Source organism: Homo sapiens, chromosome 7 (genome assembly GCF_000001405.40).
Source record: "Homo sapiens chromosome 7, GRCh38.p14 Primary Assembly".
Lineage (NCBI taxonomy): Eukaryota > Metazoa > Chordata > Mammalia > Primates > Hominidae > Homo > Homo sapiens.
Window position 1 is genome coordinate 29,268,349 of NC_000007.14, and position 22,663 is coordinate 29,291,011.

Consider the following 22,663-nt stretch of genomic DNA (forward strand, 5'->3'; position numbering starts at 1 on the left):
AAAATAATCTTGTTGAGTATTAGGATTGGCTAGAGTTTTTTTTAAGGTAAAAAGTACTGTGTGCATTTTCAACTTCTCTTGATCTTTGCATTTGGAGGATAATAATCTCCAGGGAGATTTGAAGATAATAAATAGAGGTGGAAATGCACGGATGCTTCTGCACCAATTCTCAGGGAAGGCTTTTCCAGATGTGGAATGCACGGATGCTTCTGCACCAATTCCCAGGGAAGGCTTTTCCAGATGTGGAATGCCATGGGGAGTCTGTCTGGCTTGGATAATTGACAGCTGCCAGCTTGTAATGATCTGTGCTAAATGGAGCTGGAGCCACAGAAGGCAACACAACAGCTGGGCTGCTGGGAGCCAAGGCCCTGCACGAGGCACAGCTCTCTCCCCAACACCCATCCTCAGCAGCCTCACCCCCTAAAGAAGGTGCACTGTTCCAGGAAAGGAAGGGAGTCTGTTGCTTCTACCTGATGGGTAAGAGGAAACACCTTGATTCACTCAAATGGGCCACGGTCAGATAATTAGAGATTCGCTTTTTATTGCATTGACTTTAGCATTTTAATTTAAAAAAATGTTTATGGATACATAATAGTTGCATATATTTTGTGGGGAACATGTGATATTTTGATACAAGCATATAATGTGTAATGATCAAATCAAGGTAATTGGGATATTCATCACGTTAAACATTTCTCATTACTTTGTGTTAGGAATATTTCAATTCCACTCTTCTAGTTATTTTGAAATAGGCAATAAATTATTGTTAGTTATAGTCACTCTATTGTGCTACTGAACACTAGATCTTATCTAACTGTATTTTTGTGCCCGTGAACCTCTCTTTATTCCCCTCTCCCCACTACTCTGCCAGCCTCTGGCAACCATCATTCTACTCTCTATCTCCATGAGTTCAACTTTTTTTTAGCTCTCACATATGAGTGAGAACATGCAGTATTTGTCTTTTTGTGTTTGGCTTATTTCACTTAACATAATATCTTCCAGTTCCATTCATTTTGTTGAGAATGAAAATATTTTATTCTTTTTTGTGGCTAAATAATATTCCATTGTGTACGTGTACCACATTTTCTTTATCCATGCACCTGTTGATGGACACTTAGGTTGACTCCATATCTTGGCTGTTGTGAATAGTCTTCCAATGAACTTGTTAGTGCAGATATCTCTTCAATATACTGATTTCCTTTCTTTTGGATAAATACCCAGCAGTGGGATTCCTGGATCATATGGTAGTTCTATTTTCAGTTTTTTGAGGAAACTTCATGCTGTTTTCCATAGTGGCTGTACTAATTTACATTCCCACCAGCAATGTAAGAGGAACTTTAGCATTTTAATCTTAAATTCTTTAGCAACCAGTTCATAAGAGGAGGAAGGATCATAAATCAAAAGGACTGAGGATGTCAGGCAAACAGAGAAAACAGTCCCCTTCCAGGGGCTGGGAACGGTGTGGCTCCCATCATAGTCTCAGCTTTTCCAGTTAATGACCGTGAAACCTTCCCCTCAAATCATTCTAATAGGCTTCTGACCCTCCCTCATTTTCTGGTTCATCAGATGAAATAATACCACCTGTCCTATCTACCTACCTGCTTCTGGGGATTGGAGAAATTAATGTAAGTGCTTTATCCACTGTGAAACCAATTTAAGTAGAAGGCACAGATGAATTAAGAAACACTTCCTGCTATGTATGATCTTTGTCCTTCTCATTCTCTGCCTTTTCTGACTTGTGGCCTAAATCATAAATGCTTCCTGATAATAATAATAGCTGTCAATTGTTGAACACTTTCTCCATGCCAGGCATTGAGCTAAATGCTTCACAGGTGTTAGTTTATTTTATCTTCATGATAACCTTGCTCGCTGGTAGTCTTATTGTTTCAGTCCCCACAGTTGAACCTGGACTCTGAATCCAGCATGCTCTTCTAGAAAAGCTCATGCACTTCCCTTTAGGCTGCATTTTAAATGAAGGAGCTGCATTCATGATTTTCAATTTTGACATTTAAAAAATGATCTAGGTCGAACGCAGTGGCTCACACCTATAATCCCAGTACTTTGGGAAGCTGAGATGGGTGGATCATTTTGAGGCCAGGAGTTCAAGACCAGCCTGGCCCACATGGTGAAACCCCATCTCTACTAAAAAAAAAAAAAAAAAAAAAATTAGCCAGGCCTGGTGGTGCGCACTTGTAATCCCAGCTACTTAGGAGGTTGAGGCACGAGAATCACTTGAACTTGGGAGGTGGTGGTTGTATTGAGTCAAGATCATGTCACTGCACTCCAGCCTTGGGCAACAGAGCAAGACTCTGTCTCAAAAAATAATAATAAAATAAAAAATGATCTAAAAGTTTATTGAGTCATTTTTTAATGTTTGAGTATAGCAGAAGGCTAGAAATCATAGAATGCAATTGTGGTTACTGATTAAGAAGAGAGAGATAAGGCACTGGAGAGAGAGAAAGAGAGAGCAGGGGAAGGCGGGAGAAAGGAATTCATGACCAAGAGAAAAAGATGGCTTTTTTTTCTGATAGGAATAGTGATTTTGTAATATGTATTTGCATTTATAATTCTCATATTTTCCATGCAGATAATCCTTAAAAGCATATAATTAATTAATGGGCTTTTGATGTTCCTAGTGCCAGAGATGTGGAACTACATTATCTTGATAATCTTTGTAAAAGATTAGAAGAGGCTTAAAGTGAGACAGTTCCCAGGATTCAAAACTCTGCCAAACAGAAACGATTAACCTTGAGGTGGGGGTGGAAGAAGTGAGAGGAAGTGGACTGAAAGGGGTGGAGTTGTGTCACCAACTCCCTCTTTTAGTCAGCGTCCTGGTCTTTAAGCATCAAGCCTGATTTAACTTTGGCTGTGGTAGGTCCCTGCCTAACTCCAACAGTCCGGAGACAAGTTCAAGGCCCTGGTCATTGTCTGCATCTAGTGAAAACCCTCTGGTTGTTTGCTCCTGGTTGTGTTAGATAAACAGGTAATGATTAAACGTATTTTCACTGGCAGCCTTTTTAAAACAAAACTTCATGTTTCTGGAGTGTCCTCTAAAGATGAAGCATTTTGCAATTCAAAAACGTTCCCAGTCCCTTTCCGTTTCTCAGACGCCCTCTGGGCTGGGTGTCTGTTTGGCTGGGTGCCTCCTAAGAGCCCCTCTGGTGAATCCTTCCTGGGAACCTGAGCCCATCCAGGAAACACAGGACAATTTTCAGTTTGGTAGGAAATCAGGTGCTTGCTGTTCAGGTTGAAAATTGAGGTTAAGAAATAACACTTATAAGGAAGAAACAGAGTGACTTCTTGTGCAGAATCGATTCTGTTTCAGACATTGGTTATCCAGTGTTGTGAATTATTTAGGGCTTTCATTTTACTGCTTTCTTTGGTGGCCTTGCCTTTTCTCATCAAACATTCTCATTGCCTCTGAAAAGCAGGCCAAGTAAGAGACGTGAGTTAAAACTGGAGTCTGATCATTTTGCTGCTTTTGAGCAGCTCCTGGAGGGCAGCGGGGGAGCATTTTTTATTCACCTTTGCACTTCTCCTCCCCACCAACACTTCATACTGCATGTAGCTGGGGCTCACTGGTTCTTTATAGATGAAATCCACACAGTAGTTCTTTATAGGTGAAATCACTATTTCACTGTGATTGCAGGAGAGACATGGAGAAAGGGCTCCAGCTTTGTTTGCAAGGAGGGCTTCCAAGGTCCGTGGAACCTGCAGAGAATGTGGCTCTTCCTGTGGCTTTGGTGTTGCCGTGACTTTCAGACATGGAGGGGATGCTTGATTTGTAACATGCTGCCGACTGGATGGGCCGTTCTCCTGCCCCGTGACAGACACGGAGTCCGCCACGGTCTCTGTAGCCCAGGCTCAGGATAGCATCTCACTTCCCAGGTCTAAACTCACCTCCCTCCTGCAGTCAGCCTACAGAAGTGCATCTATCTTCATTGATTGATGGTCCAGGCGGAAATGACAGTTCTCATTGCACTGGACTATGCCTCGTTGAGAGCTGAGGGGCTAAGGAAAGCCATTCTCTCTGCCTTGCCAGGGAGAATAAACTATTGTGAACCTCCTGGACCAAAGCCATGAGCAGAATAAATACAATTCAGTCATATAGATTTGGGGCAAGGCAGGCAATGAGGCTACTAAAGAAAGAACCTGTGCCCAAGACCAAGAAAATGGGTGAATCTGAAGCCCTATGCTTGTCTATGGGGCTGGAGGAGGAAGGAAGGCTTCCACTGGGTTAAAAAGAAAGTTGCCACATTCTTCTATGTGGTTTTCAGATTTTTGGGGCTCAGGACATCTTTATTCTCTTAAGAATAATTGAGGTGCCAAAATATTTTGTATCAGTCAATATATGCCGTATTAGAAATTAAAACTCAGAAATTTAAAAAATGATTTGTCAATTTACTTCAAACCATATGCTTATTATGTGCCAACACGCATTTTTAAAAACAAATTTTATTGTGTATATTTGAGGTTTACAACATGATATTATAGGATATATATAGACAGTAAAATGGTTACAATAGTAAAGCAAATTAACATACCTAGCATCTCACAGAATTACATTTCTTGTGTATGGAAAGAGCAGCTAAAAATCTAAGTGTGACTGGCTTAAAAAAGAAAATTTACTTGTTCAACAAAAATCCCTAATATAATACAATTTTATTAACTGTAGTCCTCACGGTGTACATTAGATTTCTAGGCTTGTTCATCCTACATATTTGCTGTTTTGTATCCTTTGACCTACATCTTTCCGTTTTCTCTCCCCCACCCTTTACCGCCTACTCATGGTAATCATTGTTTCATTCTCTATCTCTGTGTATTTGAGCTTTTTAAATTCCACATATAAGTGAGATCATGCAATATTTTTCTTTCTTTGTCTGGCTTACTTCACTGTACATAATGTCTTCTTGGTCCATCCATGATGTGGCAAATGGAAGGATCTCCTTTTCTAAGGCTGAATAATATTCCATCATGCATATATATATATATGTGTATATATATATATATATATATATATATATATATATATATATATATACACACACCACATTTTCTTTATTGGTTCGTTCATCAGTGGGCATTTAGTTTGTATCCATATCTTGGCTATTGTGAATAATGCCACAGTGAACACGGGAGTGCAGCTATCTTTTTGAAGTGATGAGCTTGTCTCTCTTGAGTATATGCCCAGAAGAGGGATCACTGGGTCCTATGATCATTCCAACTTTAATTTCTGTAGGACTCTCTGTACTGTTATCCATGACTGTACCAGTCTACATTCCCCCCAACATTATACTAGGTTTTCCTTTTCTCCCTATTGTTGCCAACATTTGTTGCCTCTTGTCTTTTTCATAAATTCTTATTATTGAAAAATATTTTTCAAAATAGTGTCATTGTTTTACTTTACTGCAGCTCTGTTTAGTGTCTGAATTAATGGGAGGTGGTTGGATTTCATATCTGCTTCTACATTCAGTCTGTTGCCATGTCATGTCATGCACTTTCTGAAAAACTCTACTGTGTGTTTGAGAGAGAATAAGAGTGAACAAGTTAAATAATGTCTCAATATCTCAGATCCCCTGTAAAAAGGCCTCAAGGACTTGCAGGGTTCCCTAGACCATGCTTTGAGAACTGCTTCCCTAGGTGCACACTCCCCAAAACTTGCCTCTCTCTGTGTTTAATATGTGGCCATCTTGTATGATGACATTTCTGCATTAGCAGAAAATGGGCATGGTGTCCCAAGCAAATAATCCTTTTCATGGCTTTTGGCATTTGAATAGTGCTTACGAACATTCGGGAAAGCATCCCCGAGACAAGCTAGAATAAGATTGATGTTGAACGTCCTATTGGACAGGCTGGCCAAGTTCTTGCTCATGGACTGGCAACAGGATAATCCAGAGCATGAGACAGGCTCCTTTCCCTGCTTTTCAGCATCTGAATCTCAAATTGCATGTGCTCCACTTCGTCTGCACAACACATACGTTTTTCCTCTTCACAATTACCAAAGGCTTTGTAAGAGAGGAGCAGTTGCTCCAAGGTCTCTCTGAGCTTCCTGTTTCCAGTACCCAAGGGCAGCTTAAATCTGCTTCTTTACTCACCAATAACTGTGCAGTTTATCCAACTCATCTGCTATTTCCTGGGTGCAAAATCATCTCACTTAATTGTAACCTCCTTTTTCCTGCATTAATCAAGACAGTGGCTGAGCGGTGGCATTAGCGAAATAAGCATGAATGGAAAGCAGTGATTTACAAGGATTGTGGGCTAGTTTCACTCAGCGCCAGTCTATGCCCGCTGGAGAGAATGACAGTGGGTACAGCCAGTGAGTTCTGCGGCCAAAGTGCAGATCAAAGAGAAGCTATTAAAACAAACAAAACACAACACATTTTGATGTTATTCTAACACAGGAATATCATTTTTAATGTGGCTAGAAAAATATTCAGCTTTGTTCTTTGTCCTTTAGGAAAACTACCTGCATCAGTGCTCTGATCTTTCCAGGGCTGGCGGAAGGATGGTGTCTGTAGATTCATTTACAATCATGGAGTGTTACAGTGAGGAGAGTCAGAGATCACCCAGCGCAGAGGAAAGGGTGTGGGAGGAGGGTGTTGGGCAGGGTGGTGACTATGCCACCATAGCAAGGCCCTGGGTCTGGTCTCTCTTTGTCCCCTGCTAAACCTAACTGTAGCGTGCAAGCCACACACTAGGGAATTAGAAAGCCAGCATTCTCTCTCTGCCCCCTGTGATCTTGATGGTTACTTAACCTCTCTGGATCTCAGTTTCCTCACCTGTAAAATGGGTATAGCAATAATCTTAGTCTCATAGGGCTGTTTTGAGAATGAAAAGGTAGTATACGTATAAGTTTCTTAAAATAGTGTATAATATTTAAAAAGTACAAAATAGATATCAGACATTATTGTAATATTATTGGTGTCTCTGAAACTTGGTTTTCTCATCTGCAAAGTAGGATTTTCCAGGTTGGCATGGGAATTAAGTTAGAGAATATATGGTCAAGTCTTGGAGAAAATGTCAAGTACCATTAAAAGTACTGCACTATATTTTGAGGACAAGTCAAGAGAACACTTTAACTTTGTACCTGAGTGTTTTCCCACATGTAAGACTCTATGATTATCTGCACCGTTTTGAAAGCAGGGCAGTAATTTTAAAATAAATGAATATATAATAACCAGGGCAAGAATAGCAATATAATCACAACTAGTAAGAACAATTGCTAATATTTGTGGAGTGTTTATCTCATGCCAGCACTGAGCTAAGTACTCGGTATGTAATATACGGTCTCACTTCTCACCACAGCCCTTTGAAGGAGGTACTATTATTATTCCGGTTTTGCAGAGGAGGAAAGTGAGGTCTCTCAGGGCCTCTCAGGGTCACTCAGGTTGCACATGGCTGGGCCAGGACTGAGCCCAGGCAGTCTGGTTCCGGAGTTGGTGTCCTTCACCAGTGCAGTAGCAGGGCTGGTGGTCCAGAGGGAGGTGGAAAGGGATTACATCCCAGTTTGAGTTCAGCAGGTTGCAATGTTGTGCTCTGCAGGTGACAGAATTAGATTTTTTGTGCTTTTTTGGTAAGGTAAAAGATGTGATACCTGTTGGGTACTATGGTCGCTATTTGGGTGATAGGTTCACTAGAAGCCCAAACCCCGCATTACCCAATATGCCTGTATGACAAACCTGCACATGTTCCCCCGAATCTAAAACTTAAAAAAAAAAACAAAACACGCATGATAGTTTTTCATTAGTATTTGGGGGAAGGAAGTGGTTGTTTCTTTAATGAGTAAATCATTGACTTGAGATGGGAGAGATCAGATGCAAGAGCTTTCCAAGCAGCACCTGAGTAGGACAGTGTAAGGAGGGGCTGGGAAAGAAATCCACGTGGAGTTTCTGAAGGGAACCTGAGAATGTAGAAAAGAGGTGTAGAGGCTGTAACCCAGGAGAAGAGCCCTGGGAGTGAGGCAGAACTTTCCAGGGTGTGGAGGGATGCAGTTTTTCTCAGGTTGACTGGAGGCTGTCCCATGGGGCCTGGATATTATTTCCCTGTCTCTGTCCAAGGCAGTTTGGTGGAGCAGGATGATTCTGTGGCAGGCATCACTGGCTCTCTCTGCCAAGGCTGTACAGCTTATGGTATTAAGTGGGGGCTCCTGGGAGCTTTAGGGTCAGAGACACCTGAATTGGAATCTCAGTTCCGCCACTTAAAAACTGTGTGGTTGCACAAGTACTGAATTCTCCAAGTCTTCATAGGATGATTGTAAAGATTAAATAAGAAATTGCATGTAAATAAATCACTTGGCACTTCGTAAGCTCCCAGTAAATAGCCGTCATCATTAGCATTATAATTAGATCCTCCCACTAGCTGCTTCCTGGATTTTCCAGTTGTGTTGAGGCGCTGGCCCTAAAATTGTGGCTTGACCCCCAGCTATTTTAGATCATTATATATGATGCCAGTTTGAGGTGCAGGACCCCACAGGTAGAGGACTGGTATGGTGCTAAGCCTCTCTTCCTTACAGATGCATTGTTTACATTCAAGGTGGTATTGGCCAGGATTTTCTGCTTGATCTTGTTCTAACACAAGCCTTAAATGAATACGCAAGAAGGGCTGGACAACTGCAAACAGCCATGCCCCTGGCTCAGCTGATGAAGGTTGTGGCTCACCATTTCTTGATTTAGTGGGTTACCACATGTTGCCAGGATTCATAAGAACACTTCACTGATCATGCATTTAAGGGGACACTCGTCTTTACACCAGACAGGAGAGAGGTCACTCACTTTGAACAAGACCCGGTCCTGTGTCTGTGAAATGCAGGGACCCTCCCCGCCACCCCAGATGCAGATCATTAGCTGAGCAAGGAGCCCCCAGAATTTTGCAGCATGACTTTCACTTTGTAATTGAATGGTCAAGGCATGGATATCATTGGAGCATCTCTAGGGGCCAGATTGTCTGCCCAAGGGAACAGTCCTCTGTGTATAGCCAACCAGAGTCCACCGTGTGTTACCTGACTACAAGTTTGGCAGGCTGATGTCAAGCCCATACTGGCATGAAGGCAGGACAAAGGTAGGCAGGCAGGAGGCATCTGCAAAGCAGGAATCAGGTACCCACAAATGCTCCACAGCCCCGGTATGTGATCCAAGCAGTAGGGTTCAGGGTTCAGTATCAAAGTCTCTAACAAGCATTCACCAGGAGCTACAGTTGTATTCTGGAATGTCAGCTAGGGCCCAGAACAGGGAACCCTTTCAAGCATGGGGAGAAGTGGGCAGAGTTTAGCAGTGGAGTGTCTTTGAGCTGTCCTGAACCATACACCAGCCTGCCCACACCTGTTGGCTGTAAAGTCATTGCACACATACTGTGGCTTTTCCCAGCAGCGTCTTCAAGGCAGTTTCTTACACCACATGTGCCAGGCCTGAGAGTTTCTGCAGTTTTTTCAGCTGCTCTAAACCATGATGGCATCAGCCTCTCAGCCCAACTCTCCGCCACTACCTCTTTTAGCTCCCATTTATTGAGTGTAGTTGTTTTCCAGTCACAATGCCAGAGCTCCACACACATTCTCCCCTTCAGCCCCTCAATGACCTTGTAAGTTAGGTGTTGTTATTATCCCCATTTTACAGGCGGAGAAACTGAGGTGTAGAGGGGTTGAGTGTGTGCAGTCATATAGCGAGTATGTGGTAGAGTGAAGATGCAGATCAGGCCTGTGTTTCCCCAGAGCCCAAGTGCTGAACCACCTTGTCTGTGACGTATTCAGCCCAGGCAGAAACTTACTATGACTTTTTCAGCTGCCCCTTGGAGTCACTGCATCAGGCTGGAGCAGTGGTTTGCAACCTTGACTGCACATTGAAATCAACTGAGGAGCTTTAAAAAGTACTTATGCCTGGGTCTTGCCACCAGAGATTCTGATTTCAATTGATCTGAGGTGCAGCCTGGGTATTTACCAGACCAGGGTTTCGCCAACTTTTTCTGTAAAGGGCAGACAATACATATTTTAGGCTTTGCAGACCATATGGTCTCTGTCTCAACTACTCGACTCTGCCTTCGTAGAGCAAAAGCAGCCATAGAAGATACATAAATGAATGAGCATGGCTGTGTTCCAGCAAAACTTTATTTACAAAAAAAAAAAACCAGGTGGCTGCCCAAAATTGGCCCATGAGCCACAGTTTGCCAATGACTGATCAAGTCAGGCAGCTCATTAGTAGGTTCTATCCCATTGCCAGTGAGATTAGAATTCATCTTGCTTCTCTAGGGCTGGTATCTGTGGCATCTTGGGAGAGCCCTGGGCACCCCATACCCTCCAAACCACGACCTTGCTGCAGGCTCCACAGGGTTGGCCCAGTTTCTGTGACTGAACTTCTATGATGGCCTCTATTTTGCCGAGGGACCCCAGTGCCCTGCTGAGTTGGAAATCCGGCCATGAACCGCCACCTGTTTGGCGGGGGTCTTGTCTAGCTTGCTAGCCCTCCCCCATAAGGAGTTAAAATTGGCCCCCTTGGTCTTGGCTGGCAGCCAGCTCCTCTGTAATTAGAAGGATTAGCTAGACTCGCGAGGCTGCCACCTGTTTGATAAAGAAGACTGCCCTTCATGAACATGCCTCCCCTTGCTGCCTCCCCCCAGGCCTGTCTCCCTCCAGAGGAAGTCCCCAGGGAGGTCCAGCTGTCCCCCCCCAACCCCCACCTTCACTCAGGGTCCTGCTTCCTTCTCTCTGCAATGGACCTTCCATAGCCATGCTTGTAGCTTGAGCGGCAGCATCGTTTTCACCCAAGGGATTCAGCACATCAGTTTTCTTTTATGGAATATTAATGCAGTATTCCCAAAACTGTAAGTTGTGATTATTTACAGAGTTGAAAGGGCAACTGGAAATTATTTACAATGTCAAAAGGGCAACTGAATTTCTCTGGTTATTGGAATTATGCTCCAACCCCCGAAAAATATAGAAATCAGAGTATGCTTTCCTTATCATCCCTCACGCGGCAGCTGTCCTTCTTAATAGGGATACCACAAACATATTGGATTGAAGGAAAACTATTGCTATAGGTGGCACTTTAGATATTAACAGTTCATATGCACGAAGTGCCAAGTTAGTTGTTTAGACATTGGAATGCATTTGTTCAACAAACATTTATGGAGACCTGAATTTGTTCCACATGTTGGGAATACCTTCACTAGAGAAAGACCTTCATAGAAACACTTAACTACAAGACGGTTTCAGAGGTGCTGTAATAGAGGTACATACAGATGGCTCTTGTGGGTATGAGAGGCTGGAGTGAAAGGCTGAGGTGTCAGGGAACTCAGGGAATGGGGCTCCCCAGTCGGAAAACAGGAGGAAAGGCATTTTTGGGTTAGGGACCAGTGTGTCTAAGGCAGGAGCAGGGTGTGATGTGGGCCTGGAGTGTGTGGTTCATGGGGAGGGGAGTTGTGCAAGTTGAATCTGGAAGATGGATTTGGAAACCAGTCTAGAGGTCCCAACTTCTGTGGGTGATGCAGACCAAAAGAAAGATCTTAAGTAAAAGAGAAATGCAATCAAGTCTGTTTTAGCAAAATGATTCTAGCAGCAGTGGGGGTCTGAATTAGGGTGGTGGGTAAGAAAAGAAGCAGGGGTCCTAGTAAGAGGCTGTTGTCAAAATCAAGAGGCCCCTAGGTGAGAAAGTGGAAGCTAGAATGGATGACAACTGGAAGGTGTGATCACACTTAAGAGACAGAGTTGATGGGATGATGAAGGCCAGTGAGGAGGTGTTCTTTATGATTTAAAATAGGGAAAAGGAGGCCATGCGCGGTGGCTCACGCCTGTAATCCCAGCACTTTGGGAGGCTGAGGCGGGTGGATCACCTGAGGTCATGAGTTTGAGACCAGCCTGGCCAACATGGCGAAACCCCGTCTCTACTAAAAATACAAAAATTAGCCGGGCGTGGTGGTGGGCGCCTGTAGTCCCAGCTACTCGGGAGGCTGAGGCAGGAGAATTGCTTGAACCCAGGAGGCAGAGGTTGCAGTGAGCTGAGATCACACCACTGCACTCCAGCCTGGGTGACAGAGCGAGGCTCCGTCTCATAAATAAATAAATAAATAAATAAATAAATAAAAATAGGGAAGAGGAGCAGTGTTTTAGAGGGACAGGAAAGTTAATGGCTTGAGTTTGGGGGCTTGTTGGTTTTGGGCATCTGAGGAACTTACAGTTGGAGTTACCCATTAGGCTGTGGGTAATGTGAGACAGGAAACCTAAGAGAGAGGATTACAGGTAAACAAACCTACTAAGTACAAGACACTCTACAAGGCACTGGGTGTAGAAGTGGTTCCTAGGCTTTGTTACTTACAGCTGAACAGAGAAGGCAGATGTTCAGCCATAAACTTGGAACGTGAGAACAGCCTGGAAAGCCTGCCAATGGTGTGATCATGTGCAAGTCGCCTACCTTCCTCAGCTTTGAGTTCTTCATTCAAAAACCAATGAGTGATAGGAACACATAACTAAAGTATCTGTAGGGGCCAGGCATGGGGGCTCATGCCTATAATCCCAGCACTTTGGGAGGCTGAGGCAGGTGGATCACCTGAGGTCAGGAGTTCAAGACCAGGCCTGGCCAACATGGAAACCCCATCTCTACTAAAAATACAAAAATTAGCCGGGCATGGTGGCGCATGCCTGTAATCTCAGCTACTCAGGAGGCTTACAACTTATAAACACTATTATATACATTGTATGATAAAATACACTGACCCACCTCATATGCTTTTGAAAATTAAGCATATGAATAAGCAATAGATTTAGATGTTATGAAACTCAAAATTCATAAAATGGTAAATAGTGAAAAGTCTCCCTTGTGCTCTGTCCTCAATCCACCAGTTCCTTTCTCAGAGATACCATTTTCTTGTGTACCCTTAAAAGGGTATTTTTTGCATGTACAAGCTAGCACTGTGTGTGCACATATTCTTCTTTTTTCCTCTTTTTTTTGTTGCAGAAATGATAACCTACTATTCACTATTCTGTGCCTTGCTTTGTTTGCATACTGAAAATTATCCATGGAAGGATACAGCACCATTTTTACTTAAGGAACCCCTTATTTAGGGACACTTAGGTTGTTTTCAATATTCTGCTCTTGTAAAGAGTGCTGCCTCATTTCACACACATGTGAGTGTATCTATAGGATAAATCCCTAGGATTGGAATTGCTGCATCAAGGAGAATGTGTATTTGTAATTTTGATGCTTGTTGCCAAATTTCTGTCCATAGTGGCTCCAAGTTCCCCTCCTATTGGCAAGGTCTCCCGTGGCTATGAGGATCACATGAAATAATATGTTTAAAACAACTTCATGAGCTGGAAAATGGGTCAACATATCCAAAGGATCCTTATCCCCCTCTCTCCCCTACACAGTAGCTCTTCTACCTGCTGCTGGGAGAAGTGATGGTTACATGTCAGGGGAGACACCGTACAGCCCCGTCAAGCCATTTTCCCCTAAGAGATATTTATCAGGGGTTGTTTTGACACGGGAGATGCCTCCTTGTCCTCATCTCCCTGAAGTACAGATGGCCGTGGGGCTCCTGTAACACATCTCATGTTGTGCCTGAGTATGCGGTGCGTCAGAGGATGTCAGCTAACAGCTTCTGCTGCCTCGGCACTGGGTGGTGGGAACACTCAGGACTCCCTCCCGCCTCCTCCATAAATAACATAGAGACAGTTGTGTTGACTCGGCAGTGGCGTGATAGAACAGGCCGGGATGGGAACTATGACCTCATCTGGTTTTCGACAAGCAGTGAAGATGTAGCTGATAATGCATGTCAGCTCATTTGTCCATACAAGCTGTGTTCATTGCTACTGGTTCTTCTGTTTGTGTTGTAAATTCTGTTTCACATTGGAGTTTGGTATTAGGTGAAAGAAAGAATGACAGGGATTCATGGTTGTCTCTTATTGAGATAGCTCCTCAGTTCAGTTCAACAGATTGTGATTGACACATCTCAATTTAACTCCAGAAGTTTCCACTGAGTGCCCACTATGTGCAGGGTACAGTGCTGAAATGTGTCATGTTTTTAAATACTGCTTACAGCTACAGCTGTTGGCTGTCTACATGGACTTTCGCAGACTGAAATAGCTTTCCTTTTTCCTTTTGCTAGTGGCTCATTATATGTTACATTGACAAACTAAATTGCAAACCAGGGATGATTCACTTTGCACTATAGAAGCGTTCCTGAAAATTGTTTTTGAAAAATAATTGTTATAAAATAAATAATGTTTTAACTGTACTGGTGGATTTTTCTATTAAAAGCAAATTCCAATGCTGAATTATTTTGAAAGATAAAACATTATTTTCTGATGTATCTGTTCAGTAAAGGAGAATTTTTTACCTAAAGGGAAAATAAATTTGATACCTTTAATCATCTGAAGCAATACCAAATATAGGCTTTAAAAAATATTTTAAGAGCCTGTGAGCAGTTTATACTAACAAAAAGAACAAATGCCATGAAGATCACGCGACAGAGAAAGACATAATCTTATTTGCTGGCAATAGCTAATAACGATAAATCTTCCAGTGTAAAAAATAGGAATCGTGAAAGAAGCAACAGAGAAAGATGAAAAAGATTGGAGAAGAAGAAGAAAATGAAAACAGAGAAAAGGAACAATATCAGCAGGTGGTGGATGGCCCGAGTGGTAGAGGAAGTGAAAGCCAAATAGCAAAAGTGGCAGCAAAGAGGACAGCTGGCCAGTAGGAGAGAAAAGAGAAGCCACCTCTCCTGGAAGCTGTGTTATCTGACCCCCTCGTGCTGCTTCTGCCTGAGAGTGCGTCGATGTCTGACCTCCACTGGAGTCAGTCAGTCCTGGGAATACCGTGTATTCCTGCATAACAGTACCTTAGAGCTTTCCTTACGTGCTTACCTGGTGGCAGGTGACTGTTCTGAGTGCTTTGTGTATTAACTTGTTTAGCTGCCTTAGCAACCCCTTGAGAAATCATTTTCCCCACTAGACAGAGGACGTAGCTGAGCAGCTCACCCAAGGCCAGAAGCACTGAGCGGAAAAGCTAGGTTTGATTCGCAGAATTCTAAGATGGTCTGCCCCCAAGTTTCCCCTCGGTTGGTATACACGATCTGTAGAATCCTCTCCCCTTCCATGTGGACAGGACTAGTAAAAATGATGGGATTTCACTCTCTTTATTAGGTTACATTATACAGCAAGGATAAAGAGATATTTGCAGATAATAAGTAAGGTCCCTAATCAGTTGATTTTGGGTTAATCAAAAGGGAGACGTCCGGGATGGGCCTGACCTAAATATGCAAGCTCTTTATATTTATATTTTTATTTTTATTGTCATTTTTATTGAGATGGAGTCTTGCTCTGTTGCCCAGGCTGGACTGCAGTGGCACAATCTTGGCTCACCACAACCTCCACCTCCCGAGTTCAAGCAATTCTCCAGCCTCAGCCTCCCGAGTAGCTGAGACTAAAGGCATGCACCACCATGCCTGCCTAATTTTTGTATTTTTAGTAGAGATGGGGTTTCCCTATGTTAGCCAAGCTGGTCTTGAACTCCTGACCTCGTGATCCGCCTGCCTCTGCCTCCCAAAATGTTGGGATTACAGGCAGGAGCCACCGTTCCCAGCCAAGCTCTTTTTTTTTTTTTTTTTTTTTTTTTTTTTTGAGACACAGTCTCACTCTGGAGTGGCTCACTGCAACCTCTGCCTCCCAGGTTCAAGCGATTCTCCTGTCTCAGCCTCCCTCCCTGTCTGTAGCTGGGACTACAGACATGCGTCACCACGCCTAGCTAATTTTTGTATTTTTACTTATTTTATTTTTATTTTTTGAGACGGAGTCTGGCTCTGTCCCAGGCTGAAGTGCAGTGGTGCGATCTCCCCTCACTACAACCTCCACCTTCTGGGTTCAAGCGATTCTCCTGCCTCAGCCTCCCAAGTAGCTGGGATTACAGGTGTGCACCACCATGCTTGGATAATTTTTGTTTTTTAGTAGAGATGGGGTTTCACCACGTTGGCCAGGCTGGTCTCAAACTCCTAACCTCAGGTGATCTGCCTGCCTCGACCTCCCAAAGTGCTGGGATTACAGGCATGAGCCACCACATTTGGCCTAGGCAAGCTCTTTAAAAGAGGCTCCAGGTTTTCCCTAAAGAAAGATAATTGAAGCTCCAGATTCTTCTGCTGACCCTGAAGAACCAAACAGCCTGTTGTGAACAGCCTATGGGAAGGGGCCACGTGGCCAGAACCTGAGAATAGGCTTAAGGTTGCTCAGAGTGGTCCCTGGCCAACAACTAGCAAGGAAATGGGGACCTCAGTCATCAGTCTCAGCGAAGTGAATTCTGCTAACAACCACATGAGTTGAGAGGAGAATCCTGAGCTCAAGAAAGGAACACGGTCTAGCTGACTCCATGATTTCAACCTGGGAAACCTGGAGCAGAGGACCCAGCCAAGCCACACCTGGACTTCTGACCCACAGCAACTGTGAGCTAGTGAGTGGGTGTCGTTTTAAGCTGCTAAGTTTGTGTTAATTTGTTCTGTAGCAATAACAGATGAATGCACAAGGATCTGAACCTCGTGATTCTGGCTGCAGAGCTCACATGCATCCTCCCTTCTCCAGGCAGCCTCTTCAGAGACGTCATCTCAAAAATCACTAAATCCTGGAACTTCAGGGTTGAATGGGGAACTTTGATCTAGCCCAGTTGTTTAATCAAACTTTTCCTTTGCAGCAGATGGCCACTGTGCAAGCAGACTGGGGGAGCTGCTCTACTTGCTGTGGGGTGTGTGAGCCGCTTCTGTTCTTTGCACTCCTCTCCTTGAGGAATCTCTGGGGAACACAGTTTGAGAACCACTGATCTGATCCAACAACTCATCTTTACATTTCCCTCTACAACATCCTGACACCTTGTTCCTTTGGAAAGTCTTCTGTGGCATTGAAATCTGGCTCACCGTAATTCCCACTATTGGTCCAGGTCCAGTCATAGGTGATACACAGAGCAAATGGAACTCTTTTTCCATAGGAGAATGCATCACTCATTAAAGACAGTTCTCACGTTTCATGGAAGCCTTCTATTTTCCAGACAAAACATCTCCATGACCACAAAGGAGCTGCCAGTCCCTTCTCTCCTAGTGTTTGCCTGTGTTTCTCTTAGAGTCAGGTCAGGAACTAAGCACAAAATTTTTGGTGTGGTCTGCTTCACATAAAATACGGCAAGCCTAGCATAAGCCACAGTCTAAATATTCTGTTTCCATGAATGCAGCGTTAGACCACATTTGCTTTTTCGCAACCACAATGCAGTGCTGACTCATACCACACGCAGAGTCAATCAAAATTCCCTTTTCACATATGTGGTTGCTAGGGTATGTCTTCACCAACATGTACTTAGGTGTGTTTATTTTAACCTGAATACAGGCTTCACATTCATCACCATTGTGTCTCATCAGGGATCTGGTGCATATCTTGGATGATCCTGATTATGTCATCCAACAATATTGCTCTTCTCCCTAGCATCACCTCAACTCTCAATTGGACAAATATGCCATAAATATCCTCATCGGAGTTATTGACAGAATTTTGGAACCAGACAGGGCTGAGGTCAGAGCCCTCTAGCACCATATTGATGACTATTCCCAGTGTTTGGGTCCTTCAAAAACTTACAAATCCAACTAATTGTATCATCTAATGGCAGTGATCCAACTCATAAAGGTACCACCAGAAACATAATGAACTATTTCCTGGCCGCCAAGTACAGGCATTAAGTCCATTTCTCTGCCTTCCCAAGCCAGGAGGTCACTAGAGCTCCTCCTGCATGCCCACAAACATGTAGGAGCCTCTTTTCGAGGATGTGCCTCATACCCACCCTTTTATAGTTTGCTCCTCCTTAGATAAACACCATTCCCCCCCGCCCCCCATGATTCCATTCTCTCTCATCTTTTTTTTTTTTCCCCTTACTCAGATTCCCTTGGGAAAAGGTAAAGACTACTTAGAGGATACCAGTGAACCTTGGAGTACCTAAATGACTGTGGCAGGCCTCATCTTTATTTCAGAGGAGGAATCTTTTTGGGGTATCTTATCATAAGAAATAGGGTAGGGCTCCAGTGTAAAAGTCAGGACAAGTTGCATAGGTGGGAGGGGTGCAGGGAAAGGTGGGGTCTGCATGTGGGGATGGGGTGGGGAGGGAGATGAAGGGACAAGGCTGTGTTTACCTCTGAGGTTTCCGTGGGGCAGGGGCGAAGCCAGCGTCTTCTGCAGCCTTACCCTTTCTTCCTCTCATTTCACCATTTCTCTACCAGCCACACCTTATATTAAAACAGAGGGTAAGGGGAAAAATAAGACTTGCTTTGTAAAGTGGGGTCATTGTTCTTGACAGCACTGCTCCATGTGGCATCTTGGGATGGATGAGTTCCCAGATCCACCCTAAAGTGGAGATGCTGTGATTCCACAATTCCTTTAGAGAGACCATAAAGCCCATATGAGTGGGCTTGGTGGAGATAGTCTGCGATTATAAATATATCACAAGCCTGTCTTGGTTTATTTTTTCATATACCTTTCTCCTTTATTCACATTCATTTATATAAACGTGAAAGTTGCCATGGGTCTTATAGGATACCTATGCTACCTGAAGACCAAGAGCTTCTGTTTGATCATTGAAAAAGAAGTGTTTTAGTTGTGGTTAAATTTGACAGTGCAGCATTCACCTAGTATTCATTTACCATCTCTAATAACTATCTCCCTTCCCCTGGGGATGGGGACCCTTTTCTTCTCCTGTATTTTTAGTCCATTTGTTTCTGGTGGAGTCCCCTCTATGCTCTACTTTATACGGGTATGCAGCTTAGGTCTGGCCAATCAGAACCTTATATTCTCCCTTGTTTGATTCAAGGCACCAAGAGGGCAGAGAGACTTTTGCTGAGTCTCCTGGCAAAAATACGCTTGGTCTTCTTCACTGAACTTTTCAGGTTTTGAGGCTCAAGCCATCTGAGCCACCTTGCCCCCAGGAAGTGGGGATCTGAAAGAGGATGGCACTAACACAGAGAAAGTGGAGATGGGAGATGGAGGCAAACTGAACTCTGGGGGCATGAGGGGGAAGTGACTACATTCTAGACTCAGCCAGATTTCTTGGGTTTGAATTGTTCTGCCACTTACAAATGTGGTCACTCTATCCAGATTGGTCTCTGTGCCTCAGTTTACTCATTTGTGAAGTGGGAATTGTTATGATACCTACTCATGGAGTCTTAGTGAGGGTCAGGTGAGTCATGTGAAATGCTGAGAACAGCACCCAGCATTTGGTATGTACTATACAAGTGTTAGTCATCATTTGAGCCCTATGCCAAGACATGACTAAAATGAGACCCACCCCTTGATTTTTTTCAGCTCAAAGAACAATAAATTTTCTTTTGCTGATAGTCCGTTTGGGTTGTGTTTGTTGTCACTTAACCCAAAGAGTCCTAACTAGTAGACTCAGTGAAATCAAATTCATATTCAGGTTTAAATTTTGTCTTCCTTAATGACCCTAAGATAGAAATAATCCAAACTTAGATATTCCTTTCTTGATTATTGTCCAGCAATGAGCAAGGTCTTGGAACTGGCTAATTTCCTTCTTCTTCCTATCTTCTTGCTTGCATTTGTTTGCAATTTGGTCTTCAGCATGTCTTTAAAAAATACTGCATGTCACAATTATTTAAGGAACCTCAGAACACTGCAATTAGATTTTCATAACAAGCATATACTTTATGTCCTTTATTTCCAATTCATGCAGTATTTAAAATGACAATATGAAAAAATAAACTATGAAAAATTAAAATAAATATATTAGTATATTAGACATAAATAAAAATTTAAAAACACACTGAATGGGGAAGGTGGGTAGTTGGCTGGAGCTGTGTGTGGGAATAGGGAGCAAATAAGAAAACCTGGGAATCTCCATTGGGTTCAGCAACTGCTTGGCTGTGTGGCCTTGGACAAGTCAATTCTCGCTGGTTTCCCAGTCTGTAAAACAGGCAGGATGTGATAGCTGAGGTTCCTTCCTTATTAATTTTGAAGTGTGTAAGAGCTTTCTTAAGCATCTTAAATAACATGTTTAATTTTCTCTGTGGTTGTGAAATGATGCAAAAGAAATTAGAAAAATGTAGCTGTTAATGAGACTCATCTGCGTTTTGTGATTCCTTAGAATTTGTGGTGTATATTTTAGGGTTACTCCCATCTCTTTTCTTTCTATATCCAAAGGGATTTGTTTACTCTTTTTTTCCCCCCATTTTCTTCTGTCTCAAAAATCCATGTGGTCTTCCTGAGTCCTCACTGTCTTAATAATCAAGGGGCTTGGCCATTTCAGCTGAGAATAGCAGCAGTGGCTCTAGTCAGCTTTAATTAGCAGGGAGCACACAGAGAGGAACAATAAGGAACCAGAATTGAAAACAAATAGTAAACTAGAGACAATGGAGACAAAGAAATGGAGACAAAGCAAATAAGTAGAACCAGTTCAGAGGGCTGGGAAGACAGAAGCCACAACAGTGTTAGTCTTCCTTTTTCTTAGAATGGAAAGCCAGGCCAGGCATGTAGTGGGCACTCAGGGGATTTGCAGGAGTGAGAGGGGCAAGGGAGAAATAGATGAGATTGAGCATTTGGCTGTGTGTGGACACGCTTCATCGTGCCAACTCAACTAGCCCTGGGATGCCGGAGGAAGAAAATCACAAAAGGAAACTTAGGATGCCCAGGTTCCAGCACAAAATGCACTTCCCACTGCCGAGGTGAAACTATCTGAGGCATTGAATGAGGAACAATACAATTTTTGAGAAAGCTAAGGAGGTGCCTACCAACCCGCACCAACGCATTTGTTTTTGAGAAACGTGGTGCTTATTTGCAAGTAAGTATTCATTTCATGCCTCGCTATTTGGCTTGTAGGTTGGACTTAATTAAAAAAGCTGTAGCATCTTTGAGTCCAATTTCCTCTTTTCACATAGCATCTGTCCCTGACAGCTTGTGTGAGGCTCGGCCACTTGTTGAGGCTGAGGCTAGAGGAGGAAATGACAAGGGAGAGGCAAGATGGACATACGCCTCTTGTTGGAGGTGGCACTCTCTAATTCTGCATGGCCCCGTCACGTGCTTGGGAGGCTTCTTGGTTTAAGCAAGGCAACAGATGTCTCCGAGAGGGGGATGCTGGCAGCATCCCAAAGGCCAGCAGGACTACGGGTTAGGCATGAGTAAGCCGACGGGAGAGGGAGGCACACATGCTTTGCCCTCTGCTCAGAACTGGAAAACAGGCGAACATTGGATAAGAGCAAATTCTAGAACTGAACAGAGGGTGATGGCGGAAAGAAAATACTTCTTTGGAACAAGCATTATCCTGCGGGGTGGAGGTAGATGTGGGGGATGGGGAACTTGACTATTTTCAAAGACAAATATGCCCCAGCACTTCCTACATTGAAATAGATGGCACAAAAGATAAAAGTCAATAGGGTGTTGACTTTGCCTATCAACGCCGCACTGTTTTGCTTTGCAAAGCATGGCTACTTACATATGCATTTACCCGGAGGTTTGACTTTAAATGTTACCAAAAAAGAGAACTGAAGCTTTCTCCCCTTACAGCTGTCATTCTTAGTTATCAGGACAAGCCTATCAGTAAATCCAAACCAACCTGTATCTCATTTTGAAACAAGTAATTGAGTTTGTGGTAAGTAAGCTCTTACAGATGGAGCATGCACTTAATCTACTTTGCATTTGAAGGTTTTAGTGTTGCTTTTAAAGCAGTTTGTTTGAAGTTCAAGGTATTAGAATTTGGATCTTTAGGGACTTCACTCTTAATTTAAAGGAATCTTTGTAAATTGCTTGGGCCTTGTTCCTGAAATTACCTGGCATTTCCCTAACTGCACTGTTTTAAAGCACAAGGACCGTTTGACCAAACATGCTGCATTCACGTTCTTTTTCTGGGCCTTTGCTCTTGGCCTCTGCATACCTTTATTCCCTAACAACAGATGTTCTGGCTATATTTTGTCTCTGAACAGTCCCTTTTGCTTTTATGCAAAGGAACCCAGCACTGTGGCACATCCCACCTGAAGCTTGTGTTTATCGCTCTGTTCCTTGTGGTTCTGTGGATAGCGAATCTCTGCTGCTGTTCCCATTTCTTTCCATTTGATATCTGAAGAATATAGTCAGCCTGATTGCTGAGCAGACTGTCAGAGATTCATGGAAGAAGACCATCTCTGGGCCATCTTACGGCTTAGATTCACACACAGCCACATATCTAGAAAGCCAGCAAGGTCAGGAGCAATAGGGGTTTTGTTTGGCCAGGCAGTATTCCCGTGAGACTTGTGTGCCACCATGAATAACGTTTAGTAAGTTTTACTGGTACTTTGCGAATTACACAAGTAATAAGATGATATTTATGGACAAATTAGAACAAAGTATAGATAAGCAAAATGGATGACCTGCCTGCAAATTCTACATTTAGAAGTGTTAATGGTGGCAAATCCATTCGGGTCTGCAGCAACTTCAGTTCTTGCCTCCTCAGAAGAAAAAATTCAACCAAGGGGCATAAGGCACAGTGAGAGACCAATGCAAGTTTTAGAGCGAGAGTGAAAATTTATTAAAAAAATTTAGAACAGGAACAAAAGGAAGTAAAGGACACTCAGAGGAGAGCCAAGCAGGCAACTTGAGAGATTCAAGCGTGTGGTTAGACCTTTGACTTGGGGTTTATATGTTGGCATGCTTTCCGAGGGTTGCATCTCTTCTTCCCTT

At 43.3% G+C, this 22,663-nt stretch overlaps 1 protein-coding gene across 9 annotated transcripts in view, besides 1 other annotated feature; it reads left to right on the forward strand.

Annotated features, from left to right (window-relative positions):
• CHN2 (chimerin 2) overlaps window positions 1-22,663 on the forward strand; it is a 367,738-nt gene that overhangs the window by 121,758 nt on the left and 223,317 nt on the right. The window lies entirely within an intron of this gene.
• Window positions 20,007-20,784: an enhancer, noted in NCBI's record as "OCT4-NANOG-H3K4me1 hESC enhancer chr7:29327971-29328748 (GRCh37/hg19 assembly coordinates)". NCBI's record gives its function as "activates a minimal SCP1, AML or CMV promoter by ChIP-STARR-seq in primed H9 embryonic stem cells {active_cell/tissue: H9 hESC(primed)}" and the evidence as "EXISTENCE:reporter gene assay evidence [ECO:0000049][PMID:30033119]".